At 42.2% G+C, this 18,773-nt stretch overlaps 1 protein-coding gene and 2 long non-coding RNA genes across 5 annotated transcripts in view; 2 read left to right on the top strand and 1 right to left on the bottom strand.

The window, feature by feature from the left end:
• The window catches only part of LINC00850 (long intergenic non-protein coding RNA 850), a 54,092-nt gene extending 52,882 nt beyond the window's left edge, over positions 1 to 1,210 (top strand). The window contains exon 3 of the long non-coding RNA NR_109813.1: positions 758 to 1,210. This is a non-coding gene — a long non-coding RNA (long intergenic non-protein coding RNA 850). The remainder of the gene's footprint in view (positions 1 to 757) is intronic.
• MAGEA8-AS1 (MAGEA8 antisense RNA 1) lies at positions 174 to 18,417 on the bottom strand. The gene is made up of 5 exons (NR_102703.1): positions 18,338 to 18,417; positions 3,779 to 3,909; positions 1,212 to 1,269; positions 677 to 769; positions 174 to 407 (listed from the first exon to the last, which is right to left on the bottom strand). It is a non-coding gene; the product is annotated as an MAGEA8 antisense RNA 1 (long non-coding RNA).
• On the top strand, positions 2,594 to 7,236 carry MAGEA8 (MAGE family member A8). 3 transcript variants are annotated; one of them, NM_001166400.2, is made up of 4 exons: positions 2,594 to 2,696; positions 4,482 to 4,760; positions 5,484 to 5,545; positions 5,621 to 7,236. In NM_001166400.2, the coding sequence occupies exon 4, from the start codon at positions 5,684 to 5,686 to the stop codon at positions 6,638 to 6,640; it is 957 nt and encodes a 318-aa protein (NP_001159872.1). In that variant the 5' UTR covers positions 2,594 to 2,696; positions 4,482 to 4,760; positions 5,484 to 5,545; positions 5,621 to 5,683; the 3' UTR covers positions 6,641 to 7,236. The 3 variants fall into 3 exon arrangements, with proteins under 3 accessions (NP_001159872.1, NP_001159873.1, NP_005355.2); NM_001166401.2 differs by lacking the exon at positions 4,482 to 4,760 and having other exon boundaries at positions 5,233 to 5,545; NM_005364.5 differs by lacking the exon at positions 4,482 to 4,760.
• Positions 18,418 to 18,773: the final 356 nt, after the last annotated feature.

The raw sequence follows: 18,773 nt of genomic DNA on the forward strand, positions 1-18,773 counted from the left end.
TGGTAGAGAAGAAAAAGAACACATTCACTCTAGAAGGGGCTTTGGCTATTTCTAATATAGCAAAACTTAGACTTACCATTACACACAGCAATTGTACTCCTAGGTTTTATCAAGGAAAATTGGAAACAGGTTCATACACACAAAATCACGTACACAAAAACATATATAGCAGCTTATTTGAAATTGACAATCAATACTTTTTCCAATTGGTGAATGGATAAAACCAATGGTACGTCCACAAACTGAAAATGTATTTAAAGCTCAATCCACCCTCTACCGTTCTAAGGCAGGCAGTTTTGTGGGTCAGTTCCCCCAAGTGGTCAGGGAAAACGAATCACCATATTAACTCTTCCAAATAATCCCAAAATACGGGCAATTATTCAACGAATTCTCCAAGGCTCCTTCTCCTGCATTGGGGGGGAAAAAAAGATAAAGACATCCAGCCTTTATAAAAAGAACATATGAGCCAAGTGTTCACTCATATTGCAGCAAATGTCCTAAATAGATAATTGTATATTCAACACAACAGTGGACTAATGAACAAGCAGCTCGTATGCAAGGAATAAAAATACAGAAAAAGCCTCTGAAATGAATTTTATCATATTTTCAAATTAACATTTTTAGCAAATGAAGATTAAAAGGCACTTTAATTTTCTAAAACTGACAGGAAACATACTTGAATGTGAAATGTTAGAAGCATTCCCATTCTCGTCAGGAGCAAGTCATTGATGTATGCTTTCACTGCTACCGTTCACAGCTGCAGTGAATGCTGAAATGAAAAAGAGAGCTATGGATATCAAGATGAAAAAGAGGTATGAAGATTGAAAAGAAATAGATCATATTTTTCACAATATGACCATCAAGAAAATTCAAAGGAAGAGACACATGGAACATTCAAATGAATAAGAGACTTCAGAAGACAGCATACAAAGACCACTGCAGCGAATACAAGAGACTTGTCACAGATGAGCAACTTAGAACATAAAATGAAAAATATACCATCCCCAACAGCATTTAAATCCAAAATATAAAGAAGAAGAAGCCTAACCAAAATATGCAAGACATTTACAGAAGCAACTGTACAAGTTTGCTGACAGATTCAGAGAAAAAATTCCCAAATAAATGGAGTAGTATATGATGTTCACTGATGAGGAATAGAATACAGCAAAGGTGTAAATCTTACTTAAATTAAATAAACAGTTAATGCCTACCTGTAGCTGCCAAAGTGACAATCAAGCCCAGGCTGCTGTGCTCTACTCCCAAAATCAACTGTGTAAAAATATAGAAGGGAAAAAGAAAAATAAAACAACAATATCAGCAACAAAGTCTAAACAACAAAACATAGAAAACCCTGGGGAAAAAACTGTGTTGAACTGGTACTTGTGTTCTGGGCAGTTGGAGAGGCAGGGAGGTTGAGGAGGTCTGCAGCCACTGCAGACGACAGGGTGAGTTGCAGGAAAAGTTTTAAAGGACCACCCCACATCAATGTAGGATCCGAGTCTGCACCTCAAAACACGAAGCCAGTAGCCCAGGGGTAATATCAGGACACCAGGAAAATTGGATTGATTGAGACACCATGGCTCCAGAATTCTGCTAATAACAACTAGAAACAAAGAGTAGGTTAGGACTACCTTCCAAAATACTATTATTTTAATCAAATATATATAATGAACTAGAAATAGAATAGTATGAGTGAATCACACATTGTATGAGTAGATATTGTTTGATAAAATAAGTACGTATAGTCGACATACATATATGTATAAATATATGTAAAGATATATACACATACATTCATATAATTACACATATATAATATAAACATATACATACATATGTGTTTATGCATATAAACATAAATATAATGCACATATACAATTGGCATAGATTTAAAATTCGTTTCTTACTATACGAATGCGAATTAAATTATGAAAATCACTAAAGTGGAATAGGAATTGTTAGGTAACTTCAAAACTCAGGACTTCCACAAATTTATTGCAGCTACTCAGTTTCTTCAGTGTAAAAATAAATCATTTAGTACAAAAGTTTTGCAAAATCCTCTTCTAGCTGGGGAAGAGCCCCCGTGGGAAGGTGTGCCTCTTCTCCCAGAGGTCACTACAATCTTAGGTGCTGCAAACCCACAGGGAGAATCTGGCCTGGGACCCGCAGCCATTCTCTGCAAGGGGTGCAGCTGTGCAAATGCTCAGAGGTGACAGAAACAGAGTATCTCCTAAAAGAGCCAAGAGTCAAGAAGAGGACCCTCCTGAGTGAGGACTGAGGGTCCACCCACACCACATAGAGGGGCCACATAATTCAGCTCAGACCCTCATGTCAGCCCTGAAAGACCCCAGCAGCCTTGTCCCCCCACCACACCCTTCCCCCCACTGCCACCTCAGGGGACTCGGAATCAGAACCTTGGTCTGAGGGAAGCAGACACCATCAGCAGAGTACGGAGCTCCAGGCTCTGCCAGATCTCAAAGTGAGAACCTTGAGGGATGACTGAACCGCTCCTCCCTCATCCCCCGCCCCACTAGAATCCGGTTCCGCCCCTGTTGTCCACCCAGGTGAGCCCTGGGTGGACGGATGTGACGCCACTGACGTGGCCGCGGGGATCAGAGAGAAGCGAGGGCCTGGTTCTGAGGGGTCGGCTTGAGATCGGCTGAGGGAAGCGGGCTCAGGGTCTGTGAGGAGGCAAGGTGAGACCCTGAGGGAGGACTGAGGAGGCCCCCACCCCTCATATAGGACCCAAAATAATCTAGCGCCGCCCCTGCTGCCAGCCCTGGACCACCAGGGGGCAGACTTGTCTGGCTGGGCCACCCCTCGCCAGCCCTGCGCTTAAGCCCCAGGGGAATCTGGAGTGAGAGCTTGGTGTGACCAGAGCAGGGCTGGTTAGCAGAGGGCAGGGCCCAGGTTCTGCCAGGCATCAAGGGCAGGACCCTGAGGGAGGGCTGAGGCTCCACAGAGCACATCTCTGCCCCTACTGTCAGCCCTGGGAAGCCCTAGGCATGGCGGCCGGGCATGGCGGCCGGGCATGGCGGCCGGGCATGGCGGCCGGGCATGGCGGCCGGGCATGGCGGCCGGGCTCGCTGATTCTGACGTCCGCATCCGGGGCTGATGCAGCAAAGGGGCTTCATGAGCACGGACTCAAGAGGAGCAGAGGGAGGGCCCAGGCTATGCTGGGAGATGAGGAGGCCCGAGGGGACCCAGGACCCCAGGACAGGGGGCCCACCCTACCTGTCTGAGACTGAGGGGCCTCCACATTTGGCCTCAGGAATCCGAGGGACTGAAACTCAAGTCAGCAGGGGGGTGGTGAACAGCCCTGCCAGGAGTCAAGGAGAAGAAGAAGAGGGAGGACTCAGGGGTCCTTGGACTCCAGATCAGTGGAGATCTCAGCCTTGGGAAGTCCCAGGATCTGTGGCTGCATGTGGCGCATCCTTGCTGCATTTTCAGGGTGTCAGAAAGGAGACAGCTGTGGTCTGAGGAGTGGAGTCTCAGATCACTGGAGAGAGGTGCCCCAGAGCCCTTAAGGAGGACTCAGCAGACCTCCCATCATGGCCTAGGAAACCTGCTCCCACTCTCAGGTCTGGGCACCCAAGGCAGGACAGTGGGGAAGGGATGTGGCCCCCCCACTTTCTGGTAGGGGGCCTCAAGGAGATGGTGGCCTTGGCATGCAAGACACATCCACGGTTCAGCAGGAAGGAAAGGGCCATGCCTTGTCGTGGAGTAAATATGAATACCTGGATGACACCCAGACAGAGAAAGACCCCATGAAACCTACTACTTCTGTCAGCCGTGGGAATCCCATGCAGGGTTGTCCATGTAGTGCCTCCTTACTTCTGCCTCCTGGGTCTCAGGGAGGTAGCAACCTGGGTCTGAAGGGCGTCCTCAGCTCAGCAGAGGGAGCCACACCTGTTCAACAGAGGGACGGGGTCACAGGATCTGCAGGACCCAAGATGTGCTCACTTTGTGATGAATGGGGGTACTCCTGGCCTGGAAAGAAGGGACCCCACAAAGTCTGGCTAACTTTGGTTATTATCTCTGGGGGAACCCGATCAAGGGTGGCCCTAAGTGGAGATCTCATCTGTACTGTGGGCAGGAAGTTGGGGAAACGCAGGAAGATAAGGTCTTGGTGGTAAGGGGAGATGTCTGCTCATATCAGGGTGTTGTGGGTTGAGGAAGGGCGGGCTCCATCAGGGGAAAGATGAATAACCCCCTGAAGACCTTAGAACCCACCACTCAAGAACAAGTAGGGACAGATCCTAGTGTCACCCCTGGACACCCCACCCAGTGGTCATCAGATGTGGTGGCTCCTCATTTCTCTCTTGAGATCTCAGGGAAGTGAGGACCTTGTTCTCAGAGGGCAACTCAGGACAAAACAGGGACCCCCATGTGGGCAACAGACTCAGTGGTCCAAGAATCTACCAAGAGTCTAGGTGACAACACTGAGGGAAGATTGAGGGTACCCTCGATGGTTCTCCTAGCAGGCAAAAAACAGATGGGGGCCCAACAGAAATCTGCCCGGCCTCTTTTGTCACCCCTGAGAGCATGAGCAGGACTATCAGCTGAGGCCCCTGTGTTATACCAGACTCATTGGTCTCAGGGAGAAGAAGGCCTTGGTCTGAGGGCACTGCATTCAGGTCAGCAGAGCGGGGGTCCAAGGCCCTGCCAGGAGTCAGGGACTCAGAGGACACCACTCACCAAACACACAGGACCGAACCCCACCCTGCACCTTCTGTCAGCCATGGGAAGTGCAGGGAAAGGTGGGTGGATGGAATCCCCTCATTTGCTCTTCCAGTGTCTCCTGGAGATAGGTCCTTGGATTAAGGAAGTGGCCTCAGGTCAGCCCAGGACACATGGGCCCCAATGTATTTTGTGTAGCTATTGCTTTTTTCTCACCCTAGGACAGGACACGTGGGCCCCATTGCATTTTGTGTAGCTATTGCTTTTTTCCCAGGAGGCCTTGGGCATGTGGGGCCAGATGTGGGTCCCTTCATATCCTTGTCTTCCATATCAGGGATATAAACTCTTGATCTGAAAGTTTCTCAGGCCAGCAAAAGGGCCAGATCCAGGCCCTGCCAGGAGAAAGATGAGGGCCCTGAATGAGCACAGAAAGGACCATCCACACAAAATAGTGGGGAGCTCACAGAGTCAGGCTCACCCTCCTGACAGCACTGGGGTGCTGGGGCTGTGCTTGCAGTCTGCAGCCTGAGTTCCCCTCGATTTATCTTCTAGGAGCTCCAGGAACCAGGCTGTGAGGTCTTGGTCTGAGGCAGTATCTTCAATCACAGAGCATAAGAGGCCCAGGCAGTAGTAGCAGTCAAGCTGAGGTGGTGTTTCCCCTGTATGTATACCAGAGGCCCCTCTGGCATCAGAACAGCAGGAACCCCACAGTTCCTGGCCCTACCAGCCCTTTTGTCAGTCCTGGAGCCTTGGCCTTTGCCAGGAGGCTGCACCCTGAGATGCCCTCTCAATTTCTCCTTCAGGTTCGCAGAGAACAGGCCAGCCAGGAGGTCAGGAGGCCCCAGAGAAGCACTGAAGAAGACCTGTAAGTAGACCTTTGTTAGGGCATCCAGGGTGTAGTACCCAGCTGAGGCCTCTCACACGCTTCCTCTCTCCCCAGGCCTGTGGGTCTCAATTGCCCAGCTCCGGCCCACACTCTCCTGCTGCCCTGACCTGAGTCATCATGCTTCTTGGGCAGAAGAGTCAGCGCTACAAGGCTGAGGAAGGCCTTCAGGCCCAAGGAGAGGCACCAGGGCTTATGGATGTGCAGATTCCCACAGCTGAGGAGCAGAAGGCTGCATCCTCCTCCTCTACTCTGATCATGGGAACCCTTGAGGAGGTGACTGATTCTGGGTCACCAAGTCCTCCCCAGAGTCCTGAGGGTGCCTCCTCTTCCCTGACTGTCACCGACAGCACTCTGTGGAGCCAATCCGATGAGGGTTCCAGCAGCAATGAAGAGGAGGGGCCAAGCACCTCCCCGGACCCAGCTCACCTGGAGTCCCTGTTCCGGGAAGCACTTGATGAGAAAGTGGCTGAGTTAGTTCGTTTCCTGCTCCGCAAATATCAAATTAAGGAGCCGGTCACAAAGGCAGAAATGCTTGAGAGTGTCATCAAAAATTACAAGAACCACTTTCCTGATATCTTCAGCAAAGCCTCTGAGTGCATGCAGGTGATCTTTGGCATTGATGTGAAGGAAGTGGACCCTGCCGGCCACTCCTACATCCTTGTCACCTGCCTGGGCCTCTCCTATGATGGCCTGCTGGGTGATGATCAGAGTACGCCCAAGACCGGCCTCCTGATAATCGTCCTGGGCATGATCTTAATGGAGGGCAGCCGCGCCCCGGAGGAGGCAATCTGGGAAGCGTTGAGTGTGATGGGGCTGTATGATGGGAGGGAGCACAGTGTCTATTGGAAGCTCAGGAAGCTGCTCACCCAAGAGTGGGTGCAGGAGAACTACCTGGAGTACCGCCAGGCGCCCGGCAGTGATCCTGTGCGCTACGAGTTCCTGTGGGGTCCAAGGGCCCTTGCTGAAACCAGCTATGTGAAAGTCCTGGAGCATGTGGTCAGGGTCAATGCAAGAGTTCGCATTTCCTACCCATCCCTGCATGAAGAGGCTTTGGGAGAGGAGAAAGGAGTTTGAGCAGGAGTTGCAGCTAGGGCCAGTGGGGCAGGTTGTGGGAGGGCCTGGGCCAGTGCACGTTCCAGGGCCACATCCACCACTTTCCCTGCTCTGTTACATGAGGCCCATTCTTCACTCTGTGTTTGAAGAGAGCAGTCACAGTTCTCAGTAGTGGGGAGCATGTTGGGTGTGAGGGAACACAGTGTGGACCATCTCTCAGTTCCTGTTCTATTGGGCGATTTGGAGGTTTATCTTTGTTTCCTTTTGGAATTGTTCCAATGTTCCTTCTAATGGATGGTGTAATGAACTTCAACATTCATTTTATGTATGACAGTAGACAGACTTACTGCTTTTTATATAGTTTAGGAGTAAGAGTCTTGCTTTTCATTTATACTGGGAAACCCATGTTATTTCTTGAATTCAGACACTACAAGAGCAGAGGATTAAGGTTTTTTTAGAAATGTGAAACAACATAGCAGTAAAATACATGAGATAAAGACATAAAGAAATTAAACAATAGTTAATTCTTGCCTTACCTGTACCTCTTAGTGTACCCTATGTACCTGAATTTGCTTGGCTTCTTTGAGAATGAAATTGAATTAAATATGAATAAATAAGTCCCCCTGCTCACTGGCTCATTTTTTCCCAAAATATTCATTGAGCTTCCGCTATTTGGAAGGCCCTGGGTTAGTATTGGAGATGCTACAGTAAGCCAGGCCCACCCCTGACCTTAGGGTGGTAGAGTCTAGTATCTGCAGCCACATAACTAAGGTGGCCAGGTATCCTCTAAGATCTAAAGGAAAAATAAGAGAGGGATGAGCGTGTGGAGCAACAGGAAGTGGTGGAGTGTACATGCCCTGAACCAAGGCCTTTTGGGCTTTGGGAAACTGCAGTACCTTTTGGGCGAGCTGATTCTAATGAAGCGGGGTGGGGCCAGAGCCAGATTCTCAGAGGACGAGAGAAAAGCTTGGAAGGGAAACATGCTCAGCAGTTCCTTTTGGATGGTGGATGAAACAGAGAGGCATCTCCTCCTGGGGCAGGAATGGGAGGTGTCCTGCACTCTTGTCTCAGTGCAGTTGAACACGGCACACGAAGTTGATGATGGATACCCATCATCCGGAAGGGTTTCCTTAGAGAGAAGCGTGAATCTCCTGGGATGTGAGGCTCAGATGCCACTGGCCAGGTGTTTTTCTTCCTGGTTGTGTGAGCCAGAGCTGACTCTATTAAAGAGACATTCTAACTAGCTTATCTGAAGTGCAATTTGGCCAGTTAAAACAAGGGAAAAGATTTGGGGTGGTGATATAATGAATGAAAATAGTGGTTTAGATGGAAAAGAAGCTGAGAGGGAAGGAGTTTATTCTTGACTCATATTCTAGGAGCTCTGAGTTGCATTCCAGTTGAGGAAGACCCCTGCACACTGAAATTTTGAAGTATACCCTCTGAGTGGGTAAACTTACTGAAATTCATTGACAAAACTTCTTTTTTTGGCTAAGTAATTCTTCCAGGTCCTAATAAGCTGCATATTTTCTGATAAGTCCTGGAGAAATCAACAAGAACAAAATCTCAGAGTGCTAGGGCCTGGGGTCAAATAGTAGAAATATAGTCATCTGCCATTCTTTAAACTTCTAAATTACACCAGGCCCTGAGCCAGGTGCATCATTTACATTGCATACACTCCAACAGTGCTGTTGAACAGGGCTTATCACACCTGCTTCACAGATGAAGAACCCAAGGCTCACAGGGCTTGGGCATTTCCCAGGATAACATGGCTAGTAATAGGGCTGGAACCAGATCTCTAGTGTGATTCCTCTGGAGCTCATGCTCTTCCCATTCCTGCCAGCCTGAGGCCCACCTCCTGAATAGTAAGTAGTTCATTTCTCAGCACTGCATCATGTCTCTCAGGTGACAAAAAGAAGGACCCTCAGGCCAAGGTAGTAAAAGCAGGCCAAAAGAAGGTGACAATGAGAATCAAACAGCATTAGGGGCATGATGGTTCCCCTGGGAGCTGACTGTTGGGTGCTTTCTGTTGAGCACCTACTATGAAACACGTTATGGGAAAGCCTACAAGTGCTCATCCACATATTGGATTCTCTCCTTCAGCACATGGGGCAAGTACACTCCTAGCCAGCATTTCTGTCTGGCTCCAACACTTTCCTGAGTTACAACACCCTTCATCTGGTCCCCCTCATGTACCCTCTGTTCCACCTCTGGGAACCTAGCCCGCTGCTTGCTCTTCCCTGCTACCTCTGGAGGCTGCACAGAATCACCTGCCCTCCCCAGGACGTGGAACATTCCTAGCCCTGCAAAAGTTCCCTGACTTTTCCACCACGCACCCTCAGTCCTGTCCCATAGCCACAGCCATTCTGGACTGTGACTTTAGACACCTCGTCCTCTCTCCCTGGGAGTCCTCTAAATACTCTTTGTTTTCCCAATGGGGTGTGAGTGGAGTCTGCTTTGCCCATAATCTCTTGATTCTTGGGATACAGCACTGAATGTAGAGAGTAGTTTGTCTAAGCCACTAGCATATTTGCAGAAGGATTTTTAATGAGCTTCTTGTCTGAAGCTGGGGACTGAACAGGCAAATGGATGGTGCTCAGGAATCCCATTCCTTCATAAAAGGTAGAAGAAGAGCAGCCATCTCCTGAAGCTGAGTTCTTACAAATCCTGGGCTCCTCCTAGGACATAAGAAACTGTTCCTTGGTGAACATGCCAGCTGGAATTTGAAAAGAACCAGCCTTCCACTGCCTTCTGTCTGGCATCTGCCCCCAGGAACATACTGGCTTTCAGTGTGACTAGTGGCACCTATACAGGTGTTCAGACAAGAACAAATCATGTGGAGGGTAGCAGAGAAGGTGGGTAAGATTCTATTCCTGCATCAGATGGAAAGAGGAAATCCTCAGCCTACTGAGGTGACAGATGGTGTTGCAAAAGGAAGTGCAGAAAATGCTATGGAGTGAAGAAGGTGAACTCACCCAGCTGACCTTACAGGATTATCTTCAAATTAGATGGGTTAATGCATTTGAAAGCTTCTGACACATAGCAGTCCCTTACAAATTAAGAGAAATTCAAACAAAAGCTGGTCTTCTCAGAAACTTCTCTGATAAATTAAGGGTGTAGTTATCAAGACAAATTATAGTTTGTATGTAGTTGGCTTTATTTCTAGCTGTGTTCAAAGCCAATGCTTCTCAACAACAATATTTTTTTAAATTTCTCAGATTGACATCAGACACTAGGACTTGTCTGATCTATCAAAAAAGCTAACTATTGGTTTTATAAAGTTCATTTATTGTTTCCCTGAAATTCCTGAAATTTTAATTTCATTAATTTTTCTCTTCCTATCTATACCACCCCATCTCTTTCTTTGCCTTAGTTTTAATGTACTTTCCCTCTACTCGTTATTTAAGAGCAAATTTTAGATGTTTTATTTGAGCCCTCTGTTACTTTCTAATGTAAGCATTTAAGGACATAAACGTTTCCATAGGCACTACCTTAACCGAATTCCACAAATTTTAAAACATCATATTTCCATTTTTATTTATCAGAAAATATTTTCTAGTTTTCCTCAAGAATTTTTTTAAATATAGAGTAGTAACAATGTGTTGTTTATTTAAAAATACTTGGGGACTTTATAGGTATGTCCTTTGTTATATTTACATTTTATTGCATTATAGATTTTTAAAATATACTTTGTACAATTTCGGTTGTTTTAAATTTTTTATGGGTTGTTTAATGGTCTATCTTGGTAAAAATTCCACACACACTTGAAAATATTATACATTCTGCTCTTATTCTGTGGAGTGTCCAGTAAAGGCCACTCAGATCAAGTTGGTTCTTTGTGTTGTCAGTTTCTTCTATAACCTTGCAGAGTTTGTCTACTTCAGTCATTTACTCAGAGAAGAGTTTTGCAATCTCCAAATGCAAGTGTAGATTGGACTATTTATCCTTTCAGTTCTATCAGAAATTGTTTCGTGTATTTTGAAATAATGCTTTTAGGTGAATTAACAGGATTATTATGTCTTCTTTCTTAATTAACTCTTTTATCATTGCATAATGTCCCTATTTATCCATGGTAATTTTCCTTCCTATAAAGTTTTTAAAAGTTTACTCAATGTAATCACTCCAACTTTCTTTTTTTAATTTTTAATTTCATTATTTAAATTAACAGTAATTTTGTTTTCTTTATGTGTCCTGTTCTGTGGCCTTAGCCCATGTGTAGATTTAGGGAGCCACCACCATCAAATCATTTTCCACAATGGTTGTACTATTTCATAATTCCTACTAGCAACATATCAGATTTAAAATTGTTCTTCATCTTTGGTAGCACTTAGTAATGGTTTTTTGTTGTTGTTGTCGTTGTCGTTTTTTTTTTTTTGAGAGAGAGTCTCACTCTGTTGCCCAGGCTGGAGTGCAGTGGTGTGATCTCAGCTCACTGCAGCCTCTGCCTCCTGGGTTCAAGCGAGTCTCCTGCCTTAGCCACCGAAGTAGCTGAAATTACAGGCGTGCACCACCACGCCTGGCTAATTTTTTTTATTTTTTATTTTTAGTAGAGATGGAGTTTCACCATGTTGGCCAGGCTGGTCTCAATCTACTGGCCTCAAGTGATCCGCCCGCCTCAGCCTCCCAAAGTGCTGGAATTACAGGCATTGAGTCACAGTGCCAGGCCATGTCTTTTAAATATCTTTTTCAAATATATGTTACCATATCTCATTATGGTTTAATATGCATTTCTCTAATAGCTGTGATGTAGAATAATTTTTCATGTGCTTATTTGTCATGTATATGTCCACATTGGAAAATGCTTTCAACCAACTAGGCATGGAAAGAACATACCTCAAAATAATATGAGCCATCTATGAAAAACGCACAGCCAACATCATATTGAATGGCCAAAAGCTGGAAGCATTCCCCATGAGAACTGGAACAAGACAAAGATCCACACTCCCACCACTGCTACTCCACATGGTACTAGAATTCCTAGTCAGAGCAATCAGGCAACAAAAAGATACAAAAGGCATCCAAATAGGAAGAGAGGAAGTCAAATTATCTCTCTTAGCAGATGATATAGTTTTATGCCAACGAAACCTCATAGTCTGTGCCCAGAAGCTCCTAGATCAGATAAATAACCTCAGCAAAGTTTCAAGATACAAAATCAATGTACAAAAATCAGTAGTATTTCTATACGTCAACAGCATTCACAAAGAGAGCCAAATAAAAAACAAAATCCCATTCACAACAGCCATGAAATTATAAAATACCTAGGAATACAACTAATCAGAGAAGTGAAAGATCTCTACAATAAGAATGACAAAACACTGCTGAAAGAAATTGGAGTTAACACAGACTAATGGAAAAATACTCCATGCTCATGGATAGGAAGAATCAATATTGTTAAAATGGCCATACTGCCTAAAGCAATTTACTGATTTTTAAAATTTTTTTATTTTTATAATTTCTTTCTTTTTATTATTTATTTATTATTATTATTATTATTTTTTGATTATACTTTAAGTTCTAGGGTACATGTGCACAACGTGCAGGTTTGTTACATATGTATACATGTGTCACGTTGGTGTGCTACACCCGTTAACTCGTCATTTACATTAGGTATATCTCCTAATGCTATCCCTCCCCACTGCCCCCACCCCATGACAGGCCCCGGTGTGTGATGTTCCCCACCCTGTGTCCAAGTGTTCTCATTGTTCAATTCCCACCTATGAGTGAGAATGTGCGGTGTTTGGTTTTCTGTCCTTGCAATAGTTTGCTCAGAATGATGGTTTCCAGCTTCACCCATGTCCCTACAAAGGACATGAACTCATCTTTTTTATGGCTGCATAGTATTCCATGGTGTATATGTGTCACTGATTTAATGCTATTTCTATCAAACTACCAATGACATCTTTCATATAATTAGAAAAAAAATATTCTACAGTTCATACAGAACCAAAAAAAGAATGTAAATAGCCACAGCAATCCTAAGGAAAAAGAGCACAGCCACAGGCATCACACTAGTCAACTCTAAACTGTATTATAAAGCTACACTAACCAAAACAGCATGATATTGGTAGAAAAACAGACACATAGACCAATGAAACAGGTTAGAGAACCCAGAAATAAAGCCACACACATACAACCATCTGACATTCAACAAAATTGATAAAAACAAGCAATGAGGAAATGACTCCCTATTTAATAAATGGTGCTGGAATAAGTGGCTAGCCATAGGCAGAAGATTTAAATTGGACCCCTTCCAGTTTCAACTCAAGATGGATTAATCTTTAATTTGTCAACTAAAACTAGATTGAAGATTTAATTCAAAAACCTAAAACTATAAAAATCCTAGAAGGAAACCTAAGAAATACCATTCTGGAACTAGGCCTTGGCAGAGATTTCATGATGCAGATTCCAAAAGCAATTGCAACAAAAACAAAAATTGACAAATGAGACCTAATTTGCATATCAAAAGAAACTATAAACAGAGTAAACAGACAAGCTACAGAATGGGAGAAAATATTTGCGAACTATGCATCCAACAAAAGTCTAATATCCACAATCTCTAAGGAAGATTAACAAATTAACAAGCAAAAAACAAACAACCCCATTGAAATTGGGCAAAGGACAAGAGTAGGCATTTCTCAAAAGAAGACATACAAGTGGCCAACAAGCATATGAAAAAGTGTCCAACCTTGCTAATATTACAGAAATGCAAATCAAAACCACAATGAGATTATACAACAGTCAGAATGGCTACTATTAAAAAGTCAAAAAATAACAGATGCTGCTAAGGTTGTGATGAAAGGGAACATTTATACACTGCTTGTGGGAATGTAAATTACTTCAGCCATTGTGGAAAGTAGTTTGGAAATTTCTCCAAGAACTTAAACCAGAGCTACTAATTCACTCAGCAATCCCATTACTGGGTATGTACCCAAAGGAATACAAATTGTTCTACCATAAAGACACATGCACACAAATGTTCATCACAGCGCTATCCACAATAACAAAGGCATGCAATCAACCTTGATCCCTGTCAATGGTAGACTGGATAAAGAAAATGTGGTATACATACACCATGGACTATTATGCATCATTAAAAGAAAGAAATAATGCCCTCTGCAGCAATAACGATACAACTGGAAGCCATTATCCTAAGCAAATTAATGCAGAACAGAAAACCAAATACCACATGTCTTCACTTGTAAGTGGAAGCTAAACATTGAGTATACACGGACACAAAGGAGGGAAAAAGAAACACTGGGGCCTACTTAAGGGTAGAGATGGGAGTACCTACCTTTCTTGGCCGGGCACAGTGGCTTATGCCTGTAATCCCAGGACTTTGGGAGGCTAAGGTGGGTGGATCACTTGAGGTCAGGAGCTCGAGACCAGCCTGGCCAGCATGGTGAAATCCCATCTCTACTAAAAATACAAAAATTAGCCAGGCGTGGTGATGCATGCCTGTAATCCCAGCTATTCGAGAGGCTGAGGCACGAGAATTGCTTGAACCCAGAGGTTGCAATAAGCCGAGATCATGTCACTGCACTACAGCCTGGGTAAGAGAGTGAGACTCTGAATCAAAAACAAAGAAAACTACCTATGTGGTACTATGCTTATTACCTGAGTGATATAAAATCGATGCACCAAACCCCCATGACATGCAATTTACCCATGTAATGAACACGAACATGTACCCCTAAAGCAAAAATAAAAGTTGGGAAGAAACAAAAAATAATTAAATAAAAGGTTTTTAAACAATAAATGCAGTACAAACTGCAAAACTAGAAAAAAAAATTACCAAATCATTTTCCACAGTGGTTGTACCATTTCACAATTCCCACTAGCAACATACAAGATTTTCTTCATCCTTGCTAGCACTTAGTAATATCTTTTTTTTTTTTTTAATTCAGTCATTTTCAGCCAGGTGCAGTGGCTCACACCTGTAATCCCAGCAGTTTGGGAGGCCGAGGCAGGCAGATCACCTGAGGTCAGGAGTTTGAGACCAGACTGGGCAAAATGGCGAAACCCCATCTCTACTAAAAGTACAAAAATTAGCCGGGCGTGGTGGCAGGTGCCTGTAATCCCAGATTCAGGAGGCTGAGGCAGGGGAAGCTTGAATCCGGGAGGTGTAGGTTGCAATGAGCCGAGATTGTGCCACTGCACTCCAGCCTGGGCGACAAGAGCAAGACTCCATCTCAAAAAAAGACTCCGTCTCAAAAAAAAAAAAAAAAAAAATCATTTTCAAATATGTGTTATGCTATCTCATCATGGTTTAATTCTCATTTCTCTAATAGATGAGATGGACAGTACTTTTTCATGTGCTTATTTGTCATGTGTATGTCCACTTAGGGGAAGTGTCTATTGATGTTTTTTGCCCATTTACAAAATTTGGTTGTTTGTGTTAAATGAATTCTTAAGAGGCATTGTTTTGGACTAAGGTCTATCCCCAGGTCCCAGAAAAACAGACCAAAACAGAATGGAAACACTGGTGCTGACTGCCACATAATCAAAGTGAACTTGGGTTCATCCTGTGCTCTCGTTCCCTGGGCTCCTTCCTCTCCTCATCTTTTGCTTTTAGCAGGACTTGGCATCCTTTTTAGTCCCAGGAATCAAAGCCCTGTAACTTAATAGCACTAGGACTTTAAAAGAGATATAGAAACTGGCCGGGCATGGTGGCTCACGCCTGTAATCCCAGCACTTTGGGAGGCCGAGGCGAGCGGATCACGAGGTCAGGAGATCGAGACCATCCTGGCTAACACGGTGAAACTCCGTCTCTACTAAAAATACAAAAAAAATTAGCTGGGCGTGGTGGCAGGCAACTGTAATCCCAGCTACTCAGGAGGCTGAGGCAGGAGAATCGCTTGAACCCAGGAGTCGGAGGTTGCAGTGAGCCAAGATCGCCACTGCACTCCAGACTGGCGATAGAACGAGACCTCGCCTCAAAAAAAAAAAAAAAAAAAGAAATACAGAAACTTACATGGATGTAATAATCTTAATTTTTTATCTCAGTTTTCCTGAGGAAATCAAAACATAGTAACAATGACATAGGAATTATTTTGATAAAATGTAAAATTTGTTTGTTAGGCCACTTACCAAAAGTTAAAAAAAAAACAAAAAACAACCTTCTGCAGTGTGAATGCTTTTCCTATGGGGAGTCCTTTTAGATAACCTGCAAGTCAGAACTAATGAAAATAGTACTTAGAAATAGGTAGAGTGTGTCCTGGGTCATAAGTGAAAATTCTTAGTTTCATAGAATTTAAAGCCAAGAGCACAGAATATCATACTGGAAGAAAACATTTCCTTTAGACCTTTAAAATGAAACACTTTCAGCATCAGTCCACAACAGCAGTTAAAACCTGAGGAAAAAGGTTACAGGAGCTGACGAAAAAGTTAAAGGAGACAGTTATTATCTCAGCCCTTTTCAAAGGGGAGAGAAAGCTGAAAACAGTGAGATGCAATAACAGTTGAGCTTTTGAGTTAAAAAATTAAAATCCCTTGTAATTTTATTAATAATAAATCAATACCTTAAAAATGTTGTTGTTCTAACCAATTCCTTAGTGTTTTAGTGTTTTTTCCTTATCAATACCCAATCTCTAGAAAGACAATTATAAATAATTTCTTTTTAGTTATAGCCAACTTGATCACATAAAGTTTCTGTCTTATGAATGCTCTTTTTACAAACTTTATTATGGCTTAGAGAAACCATTTACAACATTCTTGGACCTCCTGTTGTATCCTAAACAACCTTTTTCTTAAATAACCAGTCATTTTATTTTAGGGCAAAAAATTTACCATGCAAGATTCATTTTATATAAAATTAGTCTCCTTTTAGCCTTTCTTACCAAAATATCTTATTATATCTATAACTTTCTTTACATCTCTCTTATTTACTGGTTCCTTTTACCTTGTTTCAAAAATAACCATTAAATAACATTTAAATTTAGACTAAACTTATTTCCCTTTAAATAAGAACACATTTTTTATGAAAAATGTTTCCCCATAATTTTTTTAAAGAAATTGGAAATGATCCATTTAATGAATATCTATTATTTAACTCAATACAACTTTAGATTCTAAACTATGTGAGGTTTATTTGCAAGCATTTATTTCATTACATTTTCCTAATCAATTAATTAATTGTATTTTTCAATCGTTTAACTAGATTGTTTATGAAAATTGTGATAGTCATCATTTAAAGTTATATCCCTATTAACCATTTTATAGCACGTGCATTTCAGGTATTTACCTCAGTAAGAATCTTAAGGTTAAAAAAATGGTATATTTTGCCAATATTCAAGATTTAGCTGTTCCCATTAAACTCAACAATATTCAGTGCCTTATTTATAAAAAACTATACAAAAATAATTCTCTTGTGGGCTGCAAGCTTTACAATTCTCCTGCGAAATTTTGACAACTTATAACACCTAACAGATATTAAATATTAAACTACTAGACCAATGAATCCAACAATAATGTATGTTGACCATTCTGAAGAAATTTCTAATTTTATTTTACCAATAATTTTAAAACCAACTTATTTATTAAGGATTTACTTAAGTAAGCTTATAAAAGCATTTGGGCTCCTATTTTTCTGATAAAGTATTTGATTTAAGTGATTTTTTTGTCTGTAAGCCAATTACATATATAAAATTAAATTATATAGATTATAAATCAATATATAAATATATAATTAAATATATAAAAATTAAATCTAAAGAGCTCTAATGAGCGCTTCTGAAATTAGAAAAAAATCTAATTTCACAGACCCTGAAATTATTTAAGGCCCCTCATGCAGCAGACGGTGGCAAGAAGAAAGAGACTGGCAGAAGTAAATGGAGAAAACAGAATTCCGTTGACTGAGAATGGTAAAAAACGCTTTTTCTCAAAAAATAATATTCTAGAAGAGAAAGAAAGCATAAAGGCCTTTTCAATATATACATACACACACACACACACACACACACACACACATATATAATATATATGTAGGTGTATGTGTATACATATATATTTACCTTTTTAAATTTTTGTTTCTGTTTTTCTCAGAGATCCCTGTTCTGAACATACACATACACACACACACACACACACACACACAGAGGCACACACACACACAGAGGCACACACACATATACATCTTGGATCTTAGCTTTTAATTAAGCTGACATAATAATTGTGCTCTTAAAAAAATTCGTTAAATCTCATTACCATATTTTGGCTGGGATAAACTGCTGATAGTTCAAATGTAACAAAAATATCAAACCAGAAAGGACTTGATTTAGGAACCAAACCGAGGCTGTCATGTGAAAAAAGAGCAGAATCTTAGCTACTGAACTACAGCCATTGCTCTTTCAATTTGGCTTGGCTACTAAAAGGTGGCCTTGTTATGTAAATAATGCACCTAAGGTAATCAAATTCTTTCTTTTTTTTCAGCTGCATGATTTTAGCCAATTCAGAGACTTTGTTCCCCATAATTTGGAACTTTCCTTTGGATTTGACCAAGTCCAGTAGAGTTGGCCAAATCCATTGGGAAAAAGACTAAAACAGCAAAAACAACAGTAAAAAAAACAAACTGAAAAACAGAAAGGCAGTTAAGCAAAACAAAAGATAGCACAGGATTACCGAGTACTCTATTGGTAAGTAGAAATTAAGACCAGCTACTTGCTAATCTTAACTTTTAGCCATTACGGAAAATTTCCAAGACAAAACCCCAATTCAGCTACTTACCTGGGAATGGGGCCCAGGCTGAAGACTTGTTTGTACATTTCTCAGCCCTGCTCTGTATGTAAAGCCAACATGTTATGTTCAGCTCATTGGAGCACCTATTCTATTTAAATAGAATGAGAAGTTGTTCACTATAGAATTGCAAATGAAAGCTAATTAGATTTTTGAACCAAATTTGGTGTAATTTTGTCTTTTGACACATTTTCTCATTTCTGAAACTTTAGGACTCTTTATATATTCTGCATAAAAGACTTTTGTTTGGCATACAATTTGCATATATTTGTGTAACTCCACATTTGACTTTTTATTCTCTGATCCATGTATTTCCCAAAGTAAAAGTTTTAATTTTGAGGAATCCAATTTATCACTTTTTCCTTTATGAATCACGCTTTTGGTGTCATGATTAAGACCTCTTTGCCTGATTTCAGGTCATCAGTAT

This window comes from Homo sapiens, chromosome X, assembly GCF_000001405.40.
Source record: "Homo sapiens chromosome X, GRCh38.p14 Primary Assembly".
Classification (NCBI taxonomy): Eukaryota; Metazoa; Chordata; class Mammalia; order Primates; family Hominidae; genus Homo; species Homo sapiens.

Excerpts from the sequence above, each read along its gene's own strand:
- MAGEA8 (NM_001166400.2), top strand. The coding sequence starts at position 5,684 with ATGCTTCTTGGGCAGAAGAGTCAGCGCTACAAGGCTGAGGAAGGCCTT.